Here is a 16,643-nt window from a genome sequence, read left to right as displayed (position 1 = left end):
AATTGCCTTTTGGAAATTTTCTTTAGATATTCCAAAGATACCTCAAACACAATTTACAAACTCATCATTCTACTTATTTGCCTATCTTCCCTTCTCTCAATTAGTGGAATCACCACCCACACAGTTGATAGTCTGGAAACTAAAAGCTGTCCTAGACCTAAGAAAAATGTAATGGACTCTCAGAAGTATATATAGAATTCAGATGTTTTTAAAAACAGCCAATAAGTCAGCAACTTGTACATGCTGAAGTTTTCAGAAAAAAAGACAGATTCAATCAACACCTTCCAAATAAAAACCTTCAGAGCCACAAATGCTGCATAGAGTTCCCTAACATATATGTCTTCCATCTCTCTCATCTCTCTCTCTCTCTCTCATTCTGTCTCTCTCTCTCTCAGACACACACACACCACCCCAAGTGTTATCCACTCTACATCCCAAACATCTCTTGATTCCATTTTATTTTCTCCATTCCCATGAACATATCCTCAGTCCAGGCTACTGTCATCTCATCTCTGAACTGCTCTAACAGCCTCCTAACTGACTCCTCAAATTCTTCCTCCATACAACTGCCAATGAGTTATCCAAAACACCCGTTGAATAATGCTATTCCCCAAAGTGATTCAGTGATTCCATCACCTTTAAAATAAAATCCATACTCAACACAGTGTACCATCCTTCCACGATCTGCCTGCCACTTACCTCTCTCCAGCCTCATTCATTGCCCTCCTCATAAACACCTCACACTTCTCCATTCCTAAACTCTTGGTCACTCAGAATCACCCTGTTCCTTTCTGCCGTTTTATATGCTGTTCCCATTGCCTGGAAGTTTTTCCATATAGCTAACTCCTACACAGCCTTCAAAGGTCATTAGGACTCCTCAGACCTAGTTGGGTGCCCCTTCTGCAGATCTCCTGAATACATTAAAAGCTTACACAGCACTTAACCATTCTGCGCTGAAATTTATTGATGTGCTTCCCACAGTGGCCTATGAGATGCCTGGGGACAGGGTCTTATATTCATTACGGTCTTACTCATGAATATTACTCATTATGGTATCCTCAGCACTAGAATGGTGCACACAAAGTAGTAGGCCCTCTGACCAGCTACTGCTCAAGAAAATGAACTGAAGGATCCCTGAAATAATCTGTGGGCATGTTAAGGATTCTGTTTGAATTTCTAGTACTGACACTTTTCTCCAATAAAAGTCAAGGGAAATTGGATCTTGTAGGATAGCAAACATGATAATATTGTTTTGCTTGGGTATAGGTGTGGGTGGGGGGTTGTTACTATTTGCTGTCTTTCTTTGTGTTGGAAGGAAATAAATGTAATGTCTCTAACCATGTGATCTCCTGGCCTAGGTGCCTTCAGTAAAGTTTAAAAGGTAAAAAAGAATTTGTCATCATACAATTGCTAGATGGCAAATTAACAAATAATGGAAAAGATGAATCATGATGATTAACTGAAGAAAAGCCAACCTGTTGTTTTAGTAGTTTCAACATAAGAAAAAAAGCACAAAATTAATGACTGAAAATTTTGTCTAGATTGCCTTACAAGAATTATATGGGACATAATCCCAGAAAATTAAGGGGCAAAAATCCTCTTATTAAAAAAAAAAACAGTTGACCTGAGGAGGGGCCGGGGAGGTTCAAAATGACTGACTAGAGGTATCTGGCACTCACCACCTCCCCAAAAAAGAACCAAAATAGGAAATAGATAATCACATTTCAAATAGAACATCTAAAAGAAAACACTGGAATTTAGCAGAGAAGTGACAGGAAACACCTGAGGCACAGAAAGTAAGGGAAAGCAAGGCGGCCAGTTCAGCTGGCATCAGCTAGAAGCCTGGAGAGGTTCCCGGTGCAGGGAAAGGGTAAGAGATCCCAAGAAGTCCACATTCCCACCATTGACTCCTGTCATCTTAGCCATGGAAGAGCCTCTCTATCCTCCTGGGCCCTGAGACTAGCACAGGGAGCTGCCTAGAGATTGTGCAAAGGCCTTGCTCCAGAAAGAGAACTAACAGTGCTCTACACACTCCCCTGATACCTAAGCAACTGCAGAACAGCACCATTCTGAGTGCCTAACCTCAACCAGGGCATCCTGCCCTGGGATGCCATAGCCCCTGCATCTCGACATCCCTGAAGCACCACTAACAACCCCCTACACTGGAGGACTGCAGTAGCATGATGCTGGCTGGACCCAGCAGTGCAGCAGGGTCCCTAGCACTCTAGCCCACTCAAGAGTCCCACACCACAGGGAATGGGTGGTGTGGCACACCAGGGAAGCTGCTGCTGTGCTGCTGAAACAAGGGGAGCCAATGTGCATGTTCCCCAAAGCCTGACAGCTGTTTGCCTGCGTGGCCACTATGCACTAGCATGCACTCTGAGGACAGGCTCCCTGCCCACTGTCATCATTGCTGTTACTGCTGCTGCTAAGGACTAATGTGTACACTCCCAAGAGCCTGAAAGCTGCCCAAATGCCTAGGGTCACTCCCACTAACAGCCACCCCACCCCCGCCCCACCCACTGAGCAGCAGGGATGCTGCGCACTTATCTGCACCTTGGGGACAAGCTCTCCCCACCCACCACCACAGATTGTCCCACCACAGCCTGCACTCGTGCATACCATCAGAAGGTTAAGGACAGGACCACCTAGCCTGGCACAACCACCCCTGACTTGAGTGCCTGAGTACATCACCCAGGGGCCTGCGGATCACTCTACCCAGTCCACCACCACTGGTATCTTTGTACTCCTGGGGACCTGAGGAGGGGCCACCCAGCCCATCACAACCATCACTAACATCACTAACTGCCTGGAAGCCTAAGGGTTGTCCTGCCACTGGTACTACTATCTCCCATGCCACACACACTGCCCAGGGGCCCCAGGACCTGCCCACTCATCCAGCCCACTGCTGCCACTGCTGGAATCTGAGCAAGCCACCTGGAGGCCCAAGAATCAGCCTGCCTGGATCTGCTAACACTGGTGCCCATGTACACTGCCCAGCAGCCTAATGGCTGGCATAATTGGCCCACCACTGCCACCACTGGGCACAAAGGACTGGCCCACCTGCTGGGGCCAGCAAAGGCATCCCCAGCAAAGCATCACCACAGCATCCACTAACAACCACAGCCAGGCCACTGAGACAATCACAGACACCATGCTGTTCACAATCAAATAAATCATACCGAGACTACACCAATGCCTGCACCCAGAATCAAAGCTAAGGCACTATACCTAACCATCAACATAAACACATCTTCAGGAAAAAGTCTTCCCCCTCTAAAGCCAATCCAAAAAAATGGAAGAAGTGACTGTTACATCAGATGTGCAGATATCAACATAAAAACACAAGAAACATGAAAGAGCAAGGAAATATGACACCTCCAAAGGAACACAATAGTTTTCTAGCAACAGATTCCAATGAAATAGAAATTTTTTAAATATCAGAAAAAAATCAAAATAATGTTATTAAGGAAGCTCAGTAAGACACAACAGCACACAGATAAACAATACAAAGATACCAGAAAAACAATTCAGAATGTGAATGAGAAATTCACTAAAGAGACAGATATGAAAAAAAGAACAAAACAGAAATCCTGGAACTGAAGAATTCAATATATGAAATAAAAAATTTATTCAAGAGGTTCAACAATAGACTAGATTAAGCATACGAATTCCAGAACTTAAAGACAAATGTTTTGAAATAACCCAATCAGACAAAAAAGAAAAAGGAAAAAGGAATGAATAAGAATCAACAAAGCCTACATGACATATGGGATGCCATAAAGTGACCAAATATTCAAATTCTGGATGATCCAGAAAATGAAGAGAAAGACAAAGGCATAGAAAACGTATTCAACAAAATAACAGCTGAAAACTTCCCAAGTCTAGCAAGAGATTAAGACATCCAGATACAGGAATCTCAGAGATCCCCAAATAGATATGGATATAACCTAAAAAGGTCTTCTCTGTAGCATACTGTCAAAAGCCAAAGATAGACAGAGATTTCTAAAAACATCAAGAGAAAAGCATCTAGTCACATAAGGGAACTGCCCCCCATCAGACTAATAGCAGATTTCTAAGCAGAAAGATTACAAGCAAGGAGAGAATAAGCTTGAGGTTTATGTTCAAAGTGCTGAAAGAGAAAAAAGCTGACAGCCAAAAATACTATACCTAGCAAAGTTATCCTTCATAAAATAAGGAGAAATAAAGTCTTTTCCAGACAAGCAAAAACAAGATAATTCATCACCACTAGTCCAGCTCTGTAAGAAATGCTTAACGGAGCCCTAAATCTGGAAGTGAGAGTATGATATCTACCATCATGAAAACACACAAAAGAATAAAACTCACTGGTAGAGCAAACACCCAAATGAGGAAAAAAAAAGAGATTCAAATGTTACCACTACAGAAGACCTGCAAGTGGCAATGATAAACACTAAGAGAGAAAGAAAGGAACAAAGAACCACAAAACCAAATGACAATTAACAAAATTATGACAATAAGTCCTCGCATATCAATAATAACCTTGAAAGTAAACAGAGTAAATATTCCACTTAAAAAATATAGACTGGCTGAATTAAAAAACATTAGCCAACTATATGCCACCCATAAGAAACTCATTTCACCTGTAAAGACACATATAAACTAAAAGTAAAGGGATGGAAAAAGGTATTCTGCACAAACAGAAACCAAAAGTGAGCAGGAATGGCTATATTTATGTCAGATAAAACAGACTTTAAGTCAAAAACAGTAAAAGGAAACAAAGAACATCATTATATAATGATAAGGGGATCAATAAAGAAAATGAAATAATAAATCTAAATGTATGTGCACCAAAACCGAAGCACCCAGATATATAAAGCAAATATTATTATATCTAAAGGGAGAGTTAGACTCCAATACAATAATAGTGGAAGACTTTATCCCACTATCAACATTAGACAGATTATCTAGGCAAAAAATTAACAAAGAAACATTGGATTTAAACTACACTTTAGACCAAATGAACCTAACAGACATTTACAGAACATTTCATCCAATAGCTACATCCAAATTGGAAAAGAGGAAGTCAAACTGTTTCTCTTTACAGATGACAAAATCTTATATTTAGAAAAACCTAAAGACTACACCAAAAAACTCTAAGATCTGATAAATTCAGTACAGTTTCAGGCTACAAAATCAACCTGCAAAAATCAGTAGCATTTCTTTACGCCTATAATAAATAGCTGAAAAAGAAATCAAGAAGGCAATCCCATTTACAATAGTTACCAAAGAAATACCTAGGAATACATTTAACCAAGGAGGTGAAAGATCTCTACAAGGAAAATTACAAAACATTGATGAAAGAAATTGAAGAGGACACAAGCAAATGGAAAGACATCCTATGATCATGAGTTAGAAGAATTAATATGGTTTGGTTTTTTTTAAGTTCAGGGGTACATGTGCAGGTTTGTTATATGACAAACTCCTGTCACAGGGGTTTTTTGTACAGATTATTTCATCACCCAAGTATTAAGCCTAGTACCCATTAGTTATTTTTCCTGATCCTCTCCTTCCTTCAACCCTCCACCCTCTGGAAGGCCCAGTGTCTGCTGTTCCCCTCTAAGAGTCCATGTGTTCTCATCATTTAGCTCCCACTCATGAGTGGGAACATGCAGTTTTTGGTTTTTTGTTCCTGTGTTACTTTGTTAACGATAATGGCCTCCAGCTCCATTTATGCTCCTGCAAATGACATGATCTCACTCTTTTTTAAGGCTGCATTGTATTCCGTGGTATGTATGTACCACATTTTCTTTATTCAATCTAGCACTGATGGGCATTTAGGTTGATTCCATGCCTTTGCTATTGCAAATAGTGTTGCATTGAACATATGTGTGCATGTGTCTTTATGATAGAACAATTTATGTTTATCTGGATATACCCCAGTAATGGGATTGCTGGGCCAAATGGCAGCTCTATTTTTAGCTCTCTGAGGAATCACCACACTGCTTTCCACAATGATTGAACTAATTCCACCAACAGTATATAAGTGTTCCTTTTTCTCCTCAACCTCACCAGCATCTGTGATTTTTTTGACTTTTTAATAATAGCCAGGAAGAATTAGTACTGTTAAAATGAACATACTACCTAAAGCAATCTACATATTCAGTGCAATCCCTATTAAAATACCAATGACATTTTTTATAGAAATAGAAACATCAGTCATAAAATTCATATGGAACCAAAAAAGAGCCCAAATAGCCAATGCAATCCTGAGCAAAAATAACAAAGCTAGAAGCATCACACTACCTGATGTCAAAAAAATTACAGAACTATAGTAATCAAAGCATCACGGTATCAGCATATAAATAGTCACACAGACCAACAGAACACGAATAGAGAACCCAGAAATAAATCCACATATGTACAGCCAACTGATTTTTTACAGAGATGCCCAGAACATACATTGGGGAAAGGACACCCTCTTCAATAAATGATGCTCGGAAAACTCGGTATCCATATGCAGAAGAATGAAATTGGATCCCTATCTCTCACCATATCCCAAAATCAACTCAAAATAGATTTAAGACTTAAACATAAGACCCCAAACTATGAACTACCAGAAGAAAACTCAGGGGAAACACTCCAGGGCATTGTTCTAGGCAAACATTTTATGGCTAAGATCTCAGAAGCATGGGTAAGAAAAACAGAATTAAACAAATAGAACTATATTAAAGTAAAAAGTTTTTGCACATCAAAGGAAACAATCAACAGAATGAAGAGGCAACCTGTTGAATGGGAGAACATATTCACAAACTATTCATCTAACAAGAAACTAATATCCAGAATTTACAAAGAAACTCAACTCCACAGCAAAACACACACACACACACACACACACACACGCACAAAGAATCTCATTTAAAATAGCATATTGAATAGACATTTCTCAAAAGAAGATATACAAGTGGCTAAAAGATATATGAAAAAATGCTCACCATCACTAATCATCAGGGAAATGCAAATCAAAAACACAATAGAGATATCTTATCAAATTCGAATGGCTATCAACAAAAAGACAAAAAATAACAGACGCTAATAACATGAAAAAAAGAGAACTCTCATACACTGCTGGTGGGAATGTAAATTAATACAGCCATTATGGAAAACAGTATGGAGATTTCTCAAAAAACTAAAAATAGAACTACCATACAATCCAACAATCCCACTATTTGGTATTTATTCAAAGGAAAAGAAATCAGTATATCAAAGAGATACATGCACTCCCATGTTTACTGCAACACCATTAACAATGGCAAAGACACAGAATCATGTGTTCATCAACAAATAAATGGATAAAGAAAGTGTGGAATATATACACAATGGAATACTATTCAACCATAAAAAAGAATAAAATCCTGTTATTTGCAGCAACATGGTTGGAAATGGAGGTCATTATGTCAAGTAAAATAAGTCAGGCACAAAGAAAAACATCATATATTCTCACTCATATTTGGGAGCTAAAACAACTGATCTCATGGAGGCAGAACAGAATGACAGTTACTAGATGCTGGGAAGGGTGTGTTGCGGGGTGAGGGGATGAAGAAAGGTTAGCTAATGAGTGCAAACATACAGTTAGATAGAATAAGTTTTAATGTTCGATAACAGAGTAGGGTGACTATAATTAACAACAATGTATTGTATGTTTCAAAATAGCTAGAAGAGAATGACCTGAAATGTTCCCAACACATGGAAATGATAAATACAAAGGCGATAGATACCCTAAATACCCTGGCTTGACCATTACAGTATGCATGTAGCAAAATATTACATGTATTCCATAAACATGTACAAATGTTATGGATCAATAAAAATAATTTTAAGCAGTTGAACAGAAAGTTACATGTGAAAGGCATGGATCCATTTGATTTCACTTTGAAAATGAGAAGATGCATCCTTCATGACAACACAACTAAGAATACAGAATTTGGGTTAAAAGAAGAAAACAGCCAATAAGTCAGCAACTTGTATGTGCTGAAACTTTTAGGAGGAAAGGCTGATTCAACCAACACCTTGCAAATAAAAACTTGCAGGGCTGCAAGGCTCCACAGAGCTCCCTGCGTATAGTATCCACTGTCACCTTCTCTTACACCAACCATATTCACTTCCTAATACTGCAAGAAAAGCCAGACTTAAGCAAAACTTCCAAACAGGTGGAGAAGAAATCATCTGTATAGTATTACCAGTTCCTACTAACTTTCTTCACTTCCTCTGGGTTTTTGCTGTCTGTTTTTTTTTTTTTTTTTTTTAGATTGCTGAACACCAAATATGATCTTCCCCATTCACTCTTTTGGAGGATTTTGATGTTTGCAGAGGCAGTTGTTGCTTTTGCCAACAACACATTGTTTCCAGGGAGAAGAATCCTCACTGATTTCACACATTCATTTGTTTTTGGAGACCAGACCACTGGGAAATGAGAAGAAGGAAAGAAAGAAAGAAGAGAGAGAAGGAGGGAGGCAGGGGGAAAGGAAGACAGAGACAGAAAAAAAGAACAATAGTTTAGGCTATGTTGGATACATAAAATTAAGGTGGGATCTTCATCTAGAGATAAGGGCCAGAAATTTCCATGATTTCAGAAAAGCTCCCCAATCTCAGCCTCAGGGAGCCAAAAACTGCTAATGTGAACTAATTCCTAACTCAAAAGTTAAGGTGAGAAAGCCTCACTGCCCTCTGGGAAGGCTTGGGGATTTCCCCACCTCTGCCTGGAGGCCACATATAAGAAAAGTCAGTCTTGGGAAGCTTCCTGGGAGATGGCGTTCAGCCCCTTCTTGGTCTCTACTCCACACACCCTTCCCGGGCAGCCCACCCCGCACCACTTCCTAGGCAAACTCTCCCACAGAACTCTGCCCTTCCAAACTCTTCTGAGGGGCAGGTGTCTCTACAGTGCTCATTTGTTTCCACAGGGTCATTTTAGCTCAAGGTTAAAGGGCTAAAATCAAATGAGATGTCATTTGTATTGCAGCAAATAAATAGTAACAATGGAATATACTGTTGGTCTATTTTGAGATGCTGATAAGAAAAAAGAAAAGGTAGAAATAAATGTTATTCTTTTCCTTCTTGTGAAAACTTTCATGACTTTGCTCAACACTTTACAACTGTACTTCCTTCACAAGATATGTCCTTGAAACATCACATGTAAATCTATTTTTTATAATTGAAGACATTTTAAATTTACTTTAGAAACTGGCTTATTTAAAGGCACTATCAAAGAATACTTTGGTAAAATGAAAGGGTGTTAATGATCTATTTGTCATATATATTCAGATTTGGGTGTATCAGCTTTTCTTACAATGCTGACCATGTCTATGATTTAGGATGAAAGGTAATTATTTAAGTGTTTTTAAAAATAGGTTTTCAACTGAACTTGCTCTAGCCTACACAGACTTTTTCCTATAGTCACACAGTTTTAATAGGATATTTGGATCAGAAAAAGACCCTTCTGTGGTCTCAGAGCATGTTTTAAAGCCTGCATATATTTTGCCTCTTCTTTATCAACCTGAAATTATTGACTTAAGAAATTTAGTAATTTTGCTTTTCAAAAAGCAGCTATAATGACAAAGCAAGAAAAAGAAATTGTGATTAGTGGCTTAAACTCAATTCTAGAGTTAAATTAACGTAGTAACAGTATTGTGACCATGAGCATGGGAATGCCCAAGAAAGAGCCAACAGATTTGCCAAAATGTGGTCAGCAAAACCTGCCTCTTCCTTTATCAACAGTGCAGAGAAGAGAAGTGAAGAGGTACATAATCCCCACACCAGCACTTACGGAAGATGGAGTTTGAGGGAGACTATAAACAAACAATATTTTGGTATCTGGGTTTTAAACTCACATTATGGTTGTTCATTCCACTACAGTGCAAATAATACCAAAGATGAAAGTTTCAAGCAAATAATCTGCTTGAACGAAGTGATCTCCATTAGGATGAGCTCGCCTCTGCTGGCTCCTCTAACTTTGAAAATGTTGGTGTCCTCCAAGGTTTTCAACCCTTCCCTCAACTCTTCTCCCACATTCTCTCCTGGGAAACTGCATATACTCTCAAAGGATGTGCTTACCATCAAGCACCCAAATTGTTATCTTTAGCCCCAAATCTCACCCAAGAGTTCCAGACTCACGTTTCCAGCTGCCTCCTGGATGTCCCAATTCTGAACCCACTATTTCCCTCCCTTTCTCAGTGCCTGTTCCTCTCTGTGTCCTCTCCCCGACATAGCACCACTATTCCAGCAATAGGAAAAGTGGCGAGAATGAGACCTCAGATATTATGACCTCTAGCCTTGACCTCAAAAATGAATGCATATAAATCCAAAATTAATTCAGCTTGATTTTGGAAATTAATCAGACACAACACATAAGCAAACACTGCCCCAGAATCTCCTTTATTTGCCATTAATTCCCAACTGACCCACGGGCCACAGTTCCTAGAAGTAGCAACAAAATGAGCATTCCAATTTTCACATTGTTGTAGGAGGAGCTAATCTGAACGGTTTGCTGCTTAGACTCTGTGCTGGTTATTTGCCTATTGTCTCTCAGCCCCAACCTCCACTCAGTGATTCTACTCTGCAATCTACATTTCTCAGGCTTCCTTGCTGCTGGCTTCTGGTTATGTTGTGACAGTGGAAAGAAGGAGCTGGGAAGAAAGGACTGTGTTCCTGCTTTTAGCCTTGACGGTCATCCTTCCAGCAGCGGGTAAAGCAGGAGCGCTGTGGTATCTCCTGGGCCATTCCATTCCCAGCTCTCCCCTCCCCATCCTCAGCACCATCCAAGGTAGCTCCTTCTCTGAGCACCTAGATTTTATATTGCCACCTCTTCCCTTTTGTCACCCAGCACCTAAAGGTAGTGTCCATTTTTAATTTTTTCAAACTTTCAGACCCTGTATAGCCAGATCCCTGTATGAAATCCCTTCCATGTGAAATACTTAGCACGGTTCCTGTATCCTAACTGGACCCTGGCTAATGAAAGAAAATCTCCTTTGCTCTACGGTTTGTTTTCTTTTGTTAAAAAGTTGAGGTTTTGCTCACAAAATGTCACTTTCCATTGCAGATAGATCTACATTTGGTTACCAATTATTCTGCCATGGAGACTGCTTTTCAGACTGGAAAGGGAAGAATAAATATCAGTAAGAGGAAACACACCTCAGAAAGAGGCCAGCTGGACACGCAGGAATTCCAGGTGCATGATCCACTTCAGATTCTAAATTCAAATTTATACCGAGTATTTAACAGGTTAAGAGAAATACGGGCCTTTTTATTTTTTGCTTAATTTTTATTGCATATGTTTAAGATACACAACATAATGTTTTAATATACATATAGATAGTGAAATGATTACTACACTCAAGCCAATTAACATATCTGTCATCTCACATAGTTATCTGTGTTGTGGGGGTGGGTGGGAGAGGTAAGAGCATCTAAAATCTACCATCTTAGCAAATTTCCAGTATTCAATACAGTAAAGGCCTATTTTAAATGATTGTTTTTCCTCTCTAGGGACACAATACATTTTAAGACTCAACGAAGAAGACTCTTACTCCTGACACTTGTCCTTCCTTCAGCCCCTTCCTCAACAACCCAACAGCCCATGGAGCTCTGTCATCTCTGAAGCATGTAGCTCAGTCTGTACCCACTCCTCACCTCCACTGCAGCAACCTCAGTCTAATTCACCAGCACCTATCTCTTGGAAGACAGCTTTCTCCCACTTTTCCAAGGCATGATGCTGGGATAATTGAGTTTCAGCATAGAAAATGACGGAAATTACCTCTCACCACACGCAAATTACTAACAGGTGGATTACACCTTAGGGGAGACAGTTTTCCCTAAATCCCTCATGTTTCTGCAAGTCTTGAAGGCAGACACTCTGCTTTTTTTTGTTCTTTGCTATCTCTTCAAAGGATATTTGTATGGCAAACAGTCTTAGAAGATATAGTGTCTCTCCCCAAGGAAAATGACAGACTTGTTTACTGTCCAGTATATAAAGACAATTTCTCCCTCTGGGCAAAGGTCAGGCAAGCTTACAGCCCATTATAAAAGATTTGGGTTCCCTAGCCTCAGGGCTCCTCACCTCTAACACAGTTCACTCCAGGTGTACAAGTCACCTGACCCTCTACACATTTGCTCTGTAGGAATTTGGGCTCTGGGAACTGGCACAAGAAGATGCCGATACTCTGGCAAAGTCATTTGTCTCCGACCCTCTGACCCGGAGTCTTGTGTCTTCTGGCAACATTCGTGACACTAAGGCAGGCTAACTTGTTAGCTTGCAAGTAAGGCAAAATTTCAGACACTCCACAGTTCTTGACTTACAATACTAAATGTGAAAAACAAAACTATAAAGCTTTAGAAGATGAAATAAAGAGTAGCTTCATAATCTGGGATTGAAAAAGATGTCTAAAACAGCTACGTATAAACACTTACACGTATAGATACTTACCATATACGGAAAAGAAGGATAAACTTGACTACACTAAAATTAAGAACTTCCACTGACCAACAGATACCAGTAAGAGAGTGGAAGAGGAAGTCCTAGCCAGAGCAATTAGACAAGAGAAAGAAATAAAAGGAATCCAAATAGGAAAAGAAGTGAAAGTATTTCTCTTCACTGATGACATGATTCTATACCTAGAAAACCCTAGAGACTCCACCAAAAGGCTCCTAGAACTGATAAGCAACTTCAGTAAAGTTTCAGAATACAAAATCAATGCGCAAAAATCAGTAGCATTTCTATACTCCAATAACATTCAAGCTGAGAGCCAAATCAAGAATGCAATCCTGTTTACAACAGCCACACAAAAAATTACCTACGAATGCATCTAACCAAGGAAGTGAAATATGTCTACGAGGAGAAGTACAAAACGCTGCTGAAAGAAATCATAGATGATACAAACAAATGGAAAAACATTCCATGCTCATGGATTGGAAGAATCAATATCGTTCAAATGTCCAAACTGCCCAAAGCAATCTAAAGATTCAACACCATCCTTATCAAACTAGCAACATCATTTTTCACAGATCTAGAGAAAACTATTCTAAAGTTCATATGGAATCTAAAAAGTGCCCAAATAGCCAAAGCAATCACCAGCAAAAAGAACAAAGCTGGAGGCATCATATTACCCGACTTCAAACAGTACTATAAGGCTACAGTAACTAAAACATCATGGTGCTGGTACAAAAACAGGTATGTAGACCAATGGAACAGAACAGACAACCCAGAAATAAAGCTGCACACCTACAGGGATAGCTGGCTAGCCACATGCAGAAGAATTAAACTGGACCACCACCTTCCACCATATACAAAAATTAACTCAAGATGGATTAAAGATTTAAATATAAAACCTCAAACTATAAGAATTCTAGAAGAAAACCCAGGAAACACCATTCTGGACATCAGCCTTAGGAAAGAATTTATGACTAAGTCCTCAAAAGCAGTGGCAACAAAAACAAAAACTTGAGCAGTGGGACCTAATTAAACTAAAGAGCTTCTGCACAGCAAAAGAAACTATCAACAGAGTCAACAGACACTCCACAGAATGGGAGAAAATATTTGCAAACTATGCATCCAACAAAGGTCTAATATCCAGAATTTACAAGGAACTTAAACAATTGCACAAGCAAAAAACAAATAACCCCATTGAAAAATGAGCAAAATAAATGAATAAACACTTTTCAAAAGAAGACATACAAGCAACCAAAAACATGCAAAAAAAATGCTCCACATCTCTAATCATCAGAGAAATGCAAATCAAAACCACAATGAGATACCATCTCACACCAGTCAGAAAGACTATTATTAAAAAGTCAAAAAACAACAGATAATGGTGAGGCTGTGGAGAAAAGAGAACACTTATGCACTGTTAGTGGGAATGCAAATTAGTTCGACTGCTGTGGAAAGCAGTTTGGAGATTTCTCAAAGAACTTAAAACGAAACTACCATTCAACCCAGCAATCCCATTACTGGGCATATACCCAAAGGAAAATAAATCATTCTACCAAAAGGACACATGCACATGTATGTTCATTCGTAGCACTATTCACAATAGCAAAGATAGGTTCACATCGACAGTGGACTGGATAAAGAAAATGTGGTACTTGCACACCATGGAATACTATGCAGCCATAAAAAGAATGAAATAATGTCCTTTGCAGCAACACAGATGCAGCTAGAGGCCATTATCTTAAGCAAGTTAACACAGGAACAGAAAACCAAATACTGCATGTTCTCACTTATAAGTGGGAGCTAAACACTGGGTACTCGTGGACACAAAGATGGCAACAATAGACAATGGGGACTACTAGAAGGGGGAGGGAGAACTGGAGGTGAGGGGTGAAAAACTGACTTTTGAGTAATATGCTCAGTACCTGGGTGACATGATTAACTGTACCCCAAACCTCAGCGTCATGCAATATACACATATAAAAAACCTGCACATGTACCCCCTGAATCTAAATTAAAGGTTAAAATTATTTTTAAAAGAAGAGAGAGAGATCTGCAAAATAAATAATTTTGACATAAAACCGACAAGGGCTTATATCCAGAATGAATATATATTCTACAAATCAATAAGAAGACTGAAAAAGAGAAAAATGGACAAAATAGTTGGGCAGACCTTTCACAACAAGGGAAATCCAAATGACCAATAAATATACGAAAAGGTTCTCAACCTCAATCAAAATGAGGGAAACACAAATTAAAATGAAACTCATGGCCAGGCATGGTGGCTCACGCCTGTAATTCCAGCACTTTGGGAGGGTGAGGCAGGTGGATTACCTGAGGTCAGGAGTTCAAGACCAGCCTGGCCAACATGGTGAAATCCCATCTCTACTAAAAAATACAAAAATTAGCCAGGCATGGTAGTGGAGGCCTGTAATCCCAGCTACTCGGGTGGCTGAGACAGAAGAACTGCTTGAACCTGGGAGATGGAGTTTGCAGTGAGCAGAGATTATGCCACTGCACTCCAGACTGGGCGACAGAGCCAGACTCCATCTCAAAAAAAAAAAAAAAAAGAAAAGAAAAGAAAAAGAAAAGAAAGAAAGTCACATGGAAAACAATGTGTCATCATCTAGCAGTGAACACCAGATGACACATCAATTCTATTTTTAGATACAAGTCTTCTAGGAGACATGTATAAGTATGTTCATAGCAGCAATATTTGTAATAGCCAAAAACTGAAAAGACCCCAGAAGTCTACCAACAGGAAAATAGCTCAAAAAAGTATGGTATAGTTATACAATGGTATTCTATACTGCCATAAAAATGAACTACAGTCATACAGAACAACATGGATGTATCTTTAAAAAAAAAAATGTTGACTGAAAGAGTCAAACACAAAAGATACGATATGGCCCTAATTTTAGAAGTTCAAAAATAGGCAAAATTCAATTCACAGTATTTAGGAATGCCTCCTGATACAGTTTGGATATTTGTCCCCACCCAAATCTCATGTTCAATTGTAATCCCCAATGCTGCAAATGGGGCCTGGTGGGAGGTGTTTGATCATGAGGCACACCCCTCATGACTTGGTGCTGTCTTGGTCATAGTGAGTTTTCATGAGATCTGGTCATTTAAAAGTGTATGGCACCTTCCCCCACCCTTGTTCTGCTTTGCCATGTGACGTGCCTGCTGCTCCTTCGCCTTCCACTGTGATTGTTATCTTCCCGAAGCCTCCCTAGAACCCAAGCAAATGCCAGCACCATGCTTCCTGTACAGCCTGCAGAACCATGAGCCAATTAAATCTCTTTTCTTATAAATTACCCAGTCTCAGGTATTTCTTTATAGCAATGCAAGAATGGCCTAATACACCTACTTAGGTTGTAAAACTATAGATAAAAGCAATAAGTGATTGCCACAAAACATACTATAGTCGTTATTTTGCTGGGAAAGAGGAGTATGTAACTATAAAAGGGTACATGGGAGCTTCTGGGATGCTAGCAATGTCCTAGTTCTTGTCCTTGATGGGGTAACATTAGTGTTCACTTTATAAAAATCCAACAGTCAGTACACTTATGTTTTATGTTCACAGAAAAAGAGAGACTCAAGAAAGGCATGCTCATCATGAAATTGAGCCTTGCCAGTAATCCAGAAGCCCCCCATGTATCCCTCCCCCCTCCTCTCATAGCCTATTACTACACTGACTTTAATCCCCTAAGTGTACATCACTAAATACTATGATTTATCTTGGTCTGTTTTTTATTTTTCCAGGAATGAAACCAACTGAATATTTGCATTAGAGTCTGAAAACTGTTCTAGATAAATCAATTTATTACTGTGATGTATATGTTTCTTTCAACATAACGATATTTTTACAGTGAATTAAACAAGTCCAGCAGAAACAAAGATAATGTTCCATAACTTCACGAGTGTGTGTGAAAACACATTGAGAACATCAATTTAAAATCAGCAAAACGTTATCCATGACATTAACTCAGTGATGTTAATTTGAATTTTATTAGGTTTGTAATTTTATTTGCATTTAATTTGAAATGTTTGGAGTTTATAGTTGTCTTAAAGCTATAAGCATAAATTAACACTTAGTTTTATGTTTATACAGATTTAAGTAGCAATATAATAAAACTAAATTTAAGTCAATACACCAAAAAAGTCCCTTATGGAGAGGGGTCCT

General features: G+C 39.2%; 1 protein-coding gene across 24 annotated transcripts in view, besides 1 other annotated feature; it reads right to left on the bottom strand.

Moving 5' to 3' along the window:
• SH3GL3 (SH3 domain containing GRB2 like 3, endophilin A3) overlaps positions 1-16,643 on the bottom strand; it is a 186,480-nt gene that overhangs the window by 101,588 nt on the left and 68,249 nt on the right. The window lies entirely within an intron of this gene.
• Positions 2,137-2,637: an enhancer, noted in NCBI's record as "H3K27ac hESC enhancer chr15:84198348-84198848 (GRCh37/hg19 assembly coordinates)". NCBI's record gives its function as "activates a minimal SCP1, AML or CMV promoter by ChIP-STARR-seq in primed H9 embryonic stem cells {active_cell/tissue: H9 hESC(primed)}" and the evidence as "EXISTENCE:reporter gene assay evidence [ECO:0000049][PMID:30033119]".

The sequence above is a fragment of the Homo sapiens genome, chromosome 15 (genome assembly GCF_000001405.40).
Source record: "Homo sapiens chromosome 15, GRCh38.p14 Primary Assembly".
NCBI lineage: Eukaryota > Metazoa > Chordata > Mammalia > Primates > Hominidae > Homo > Homo sapiens.
Note: the sequence above shows the minus strand (reverse complement) of the source record. Positions and strands in the feature narration are given on the sequence as shown.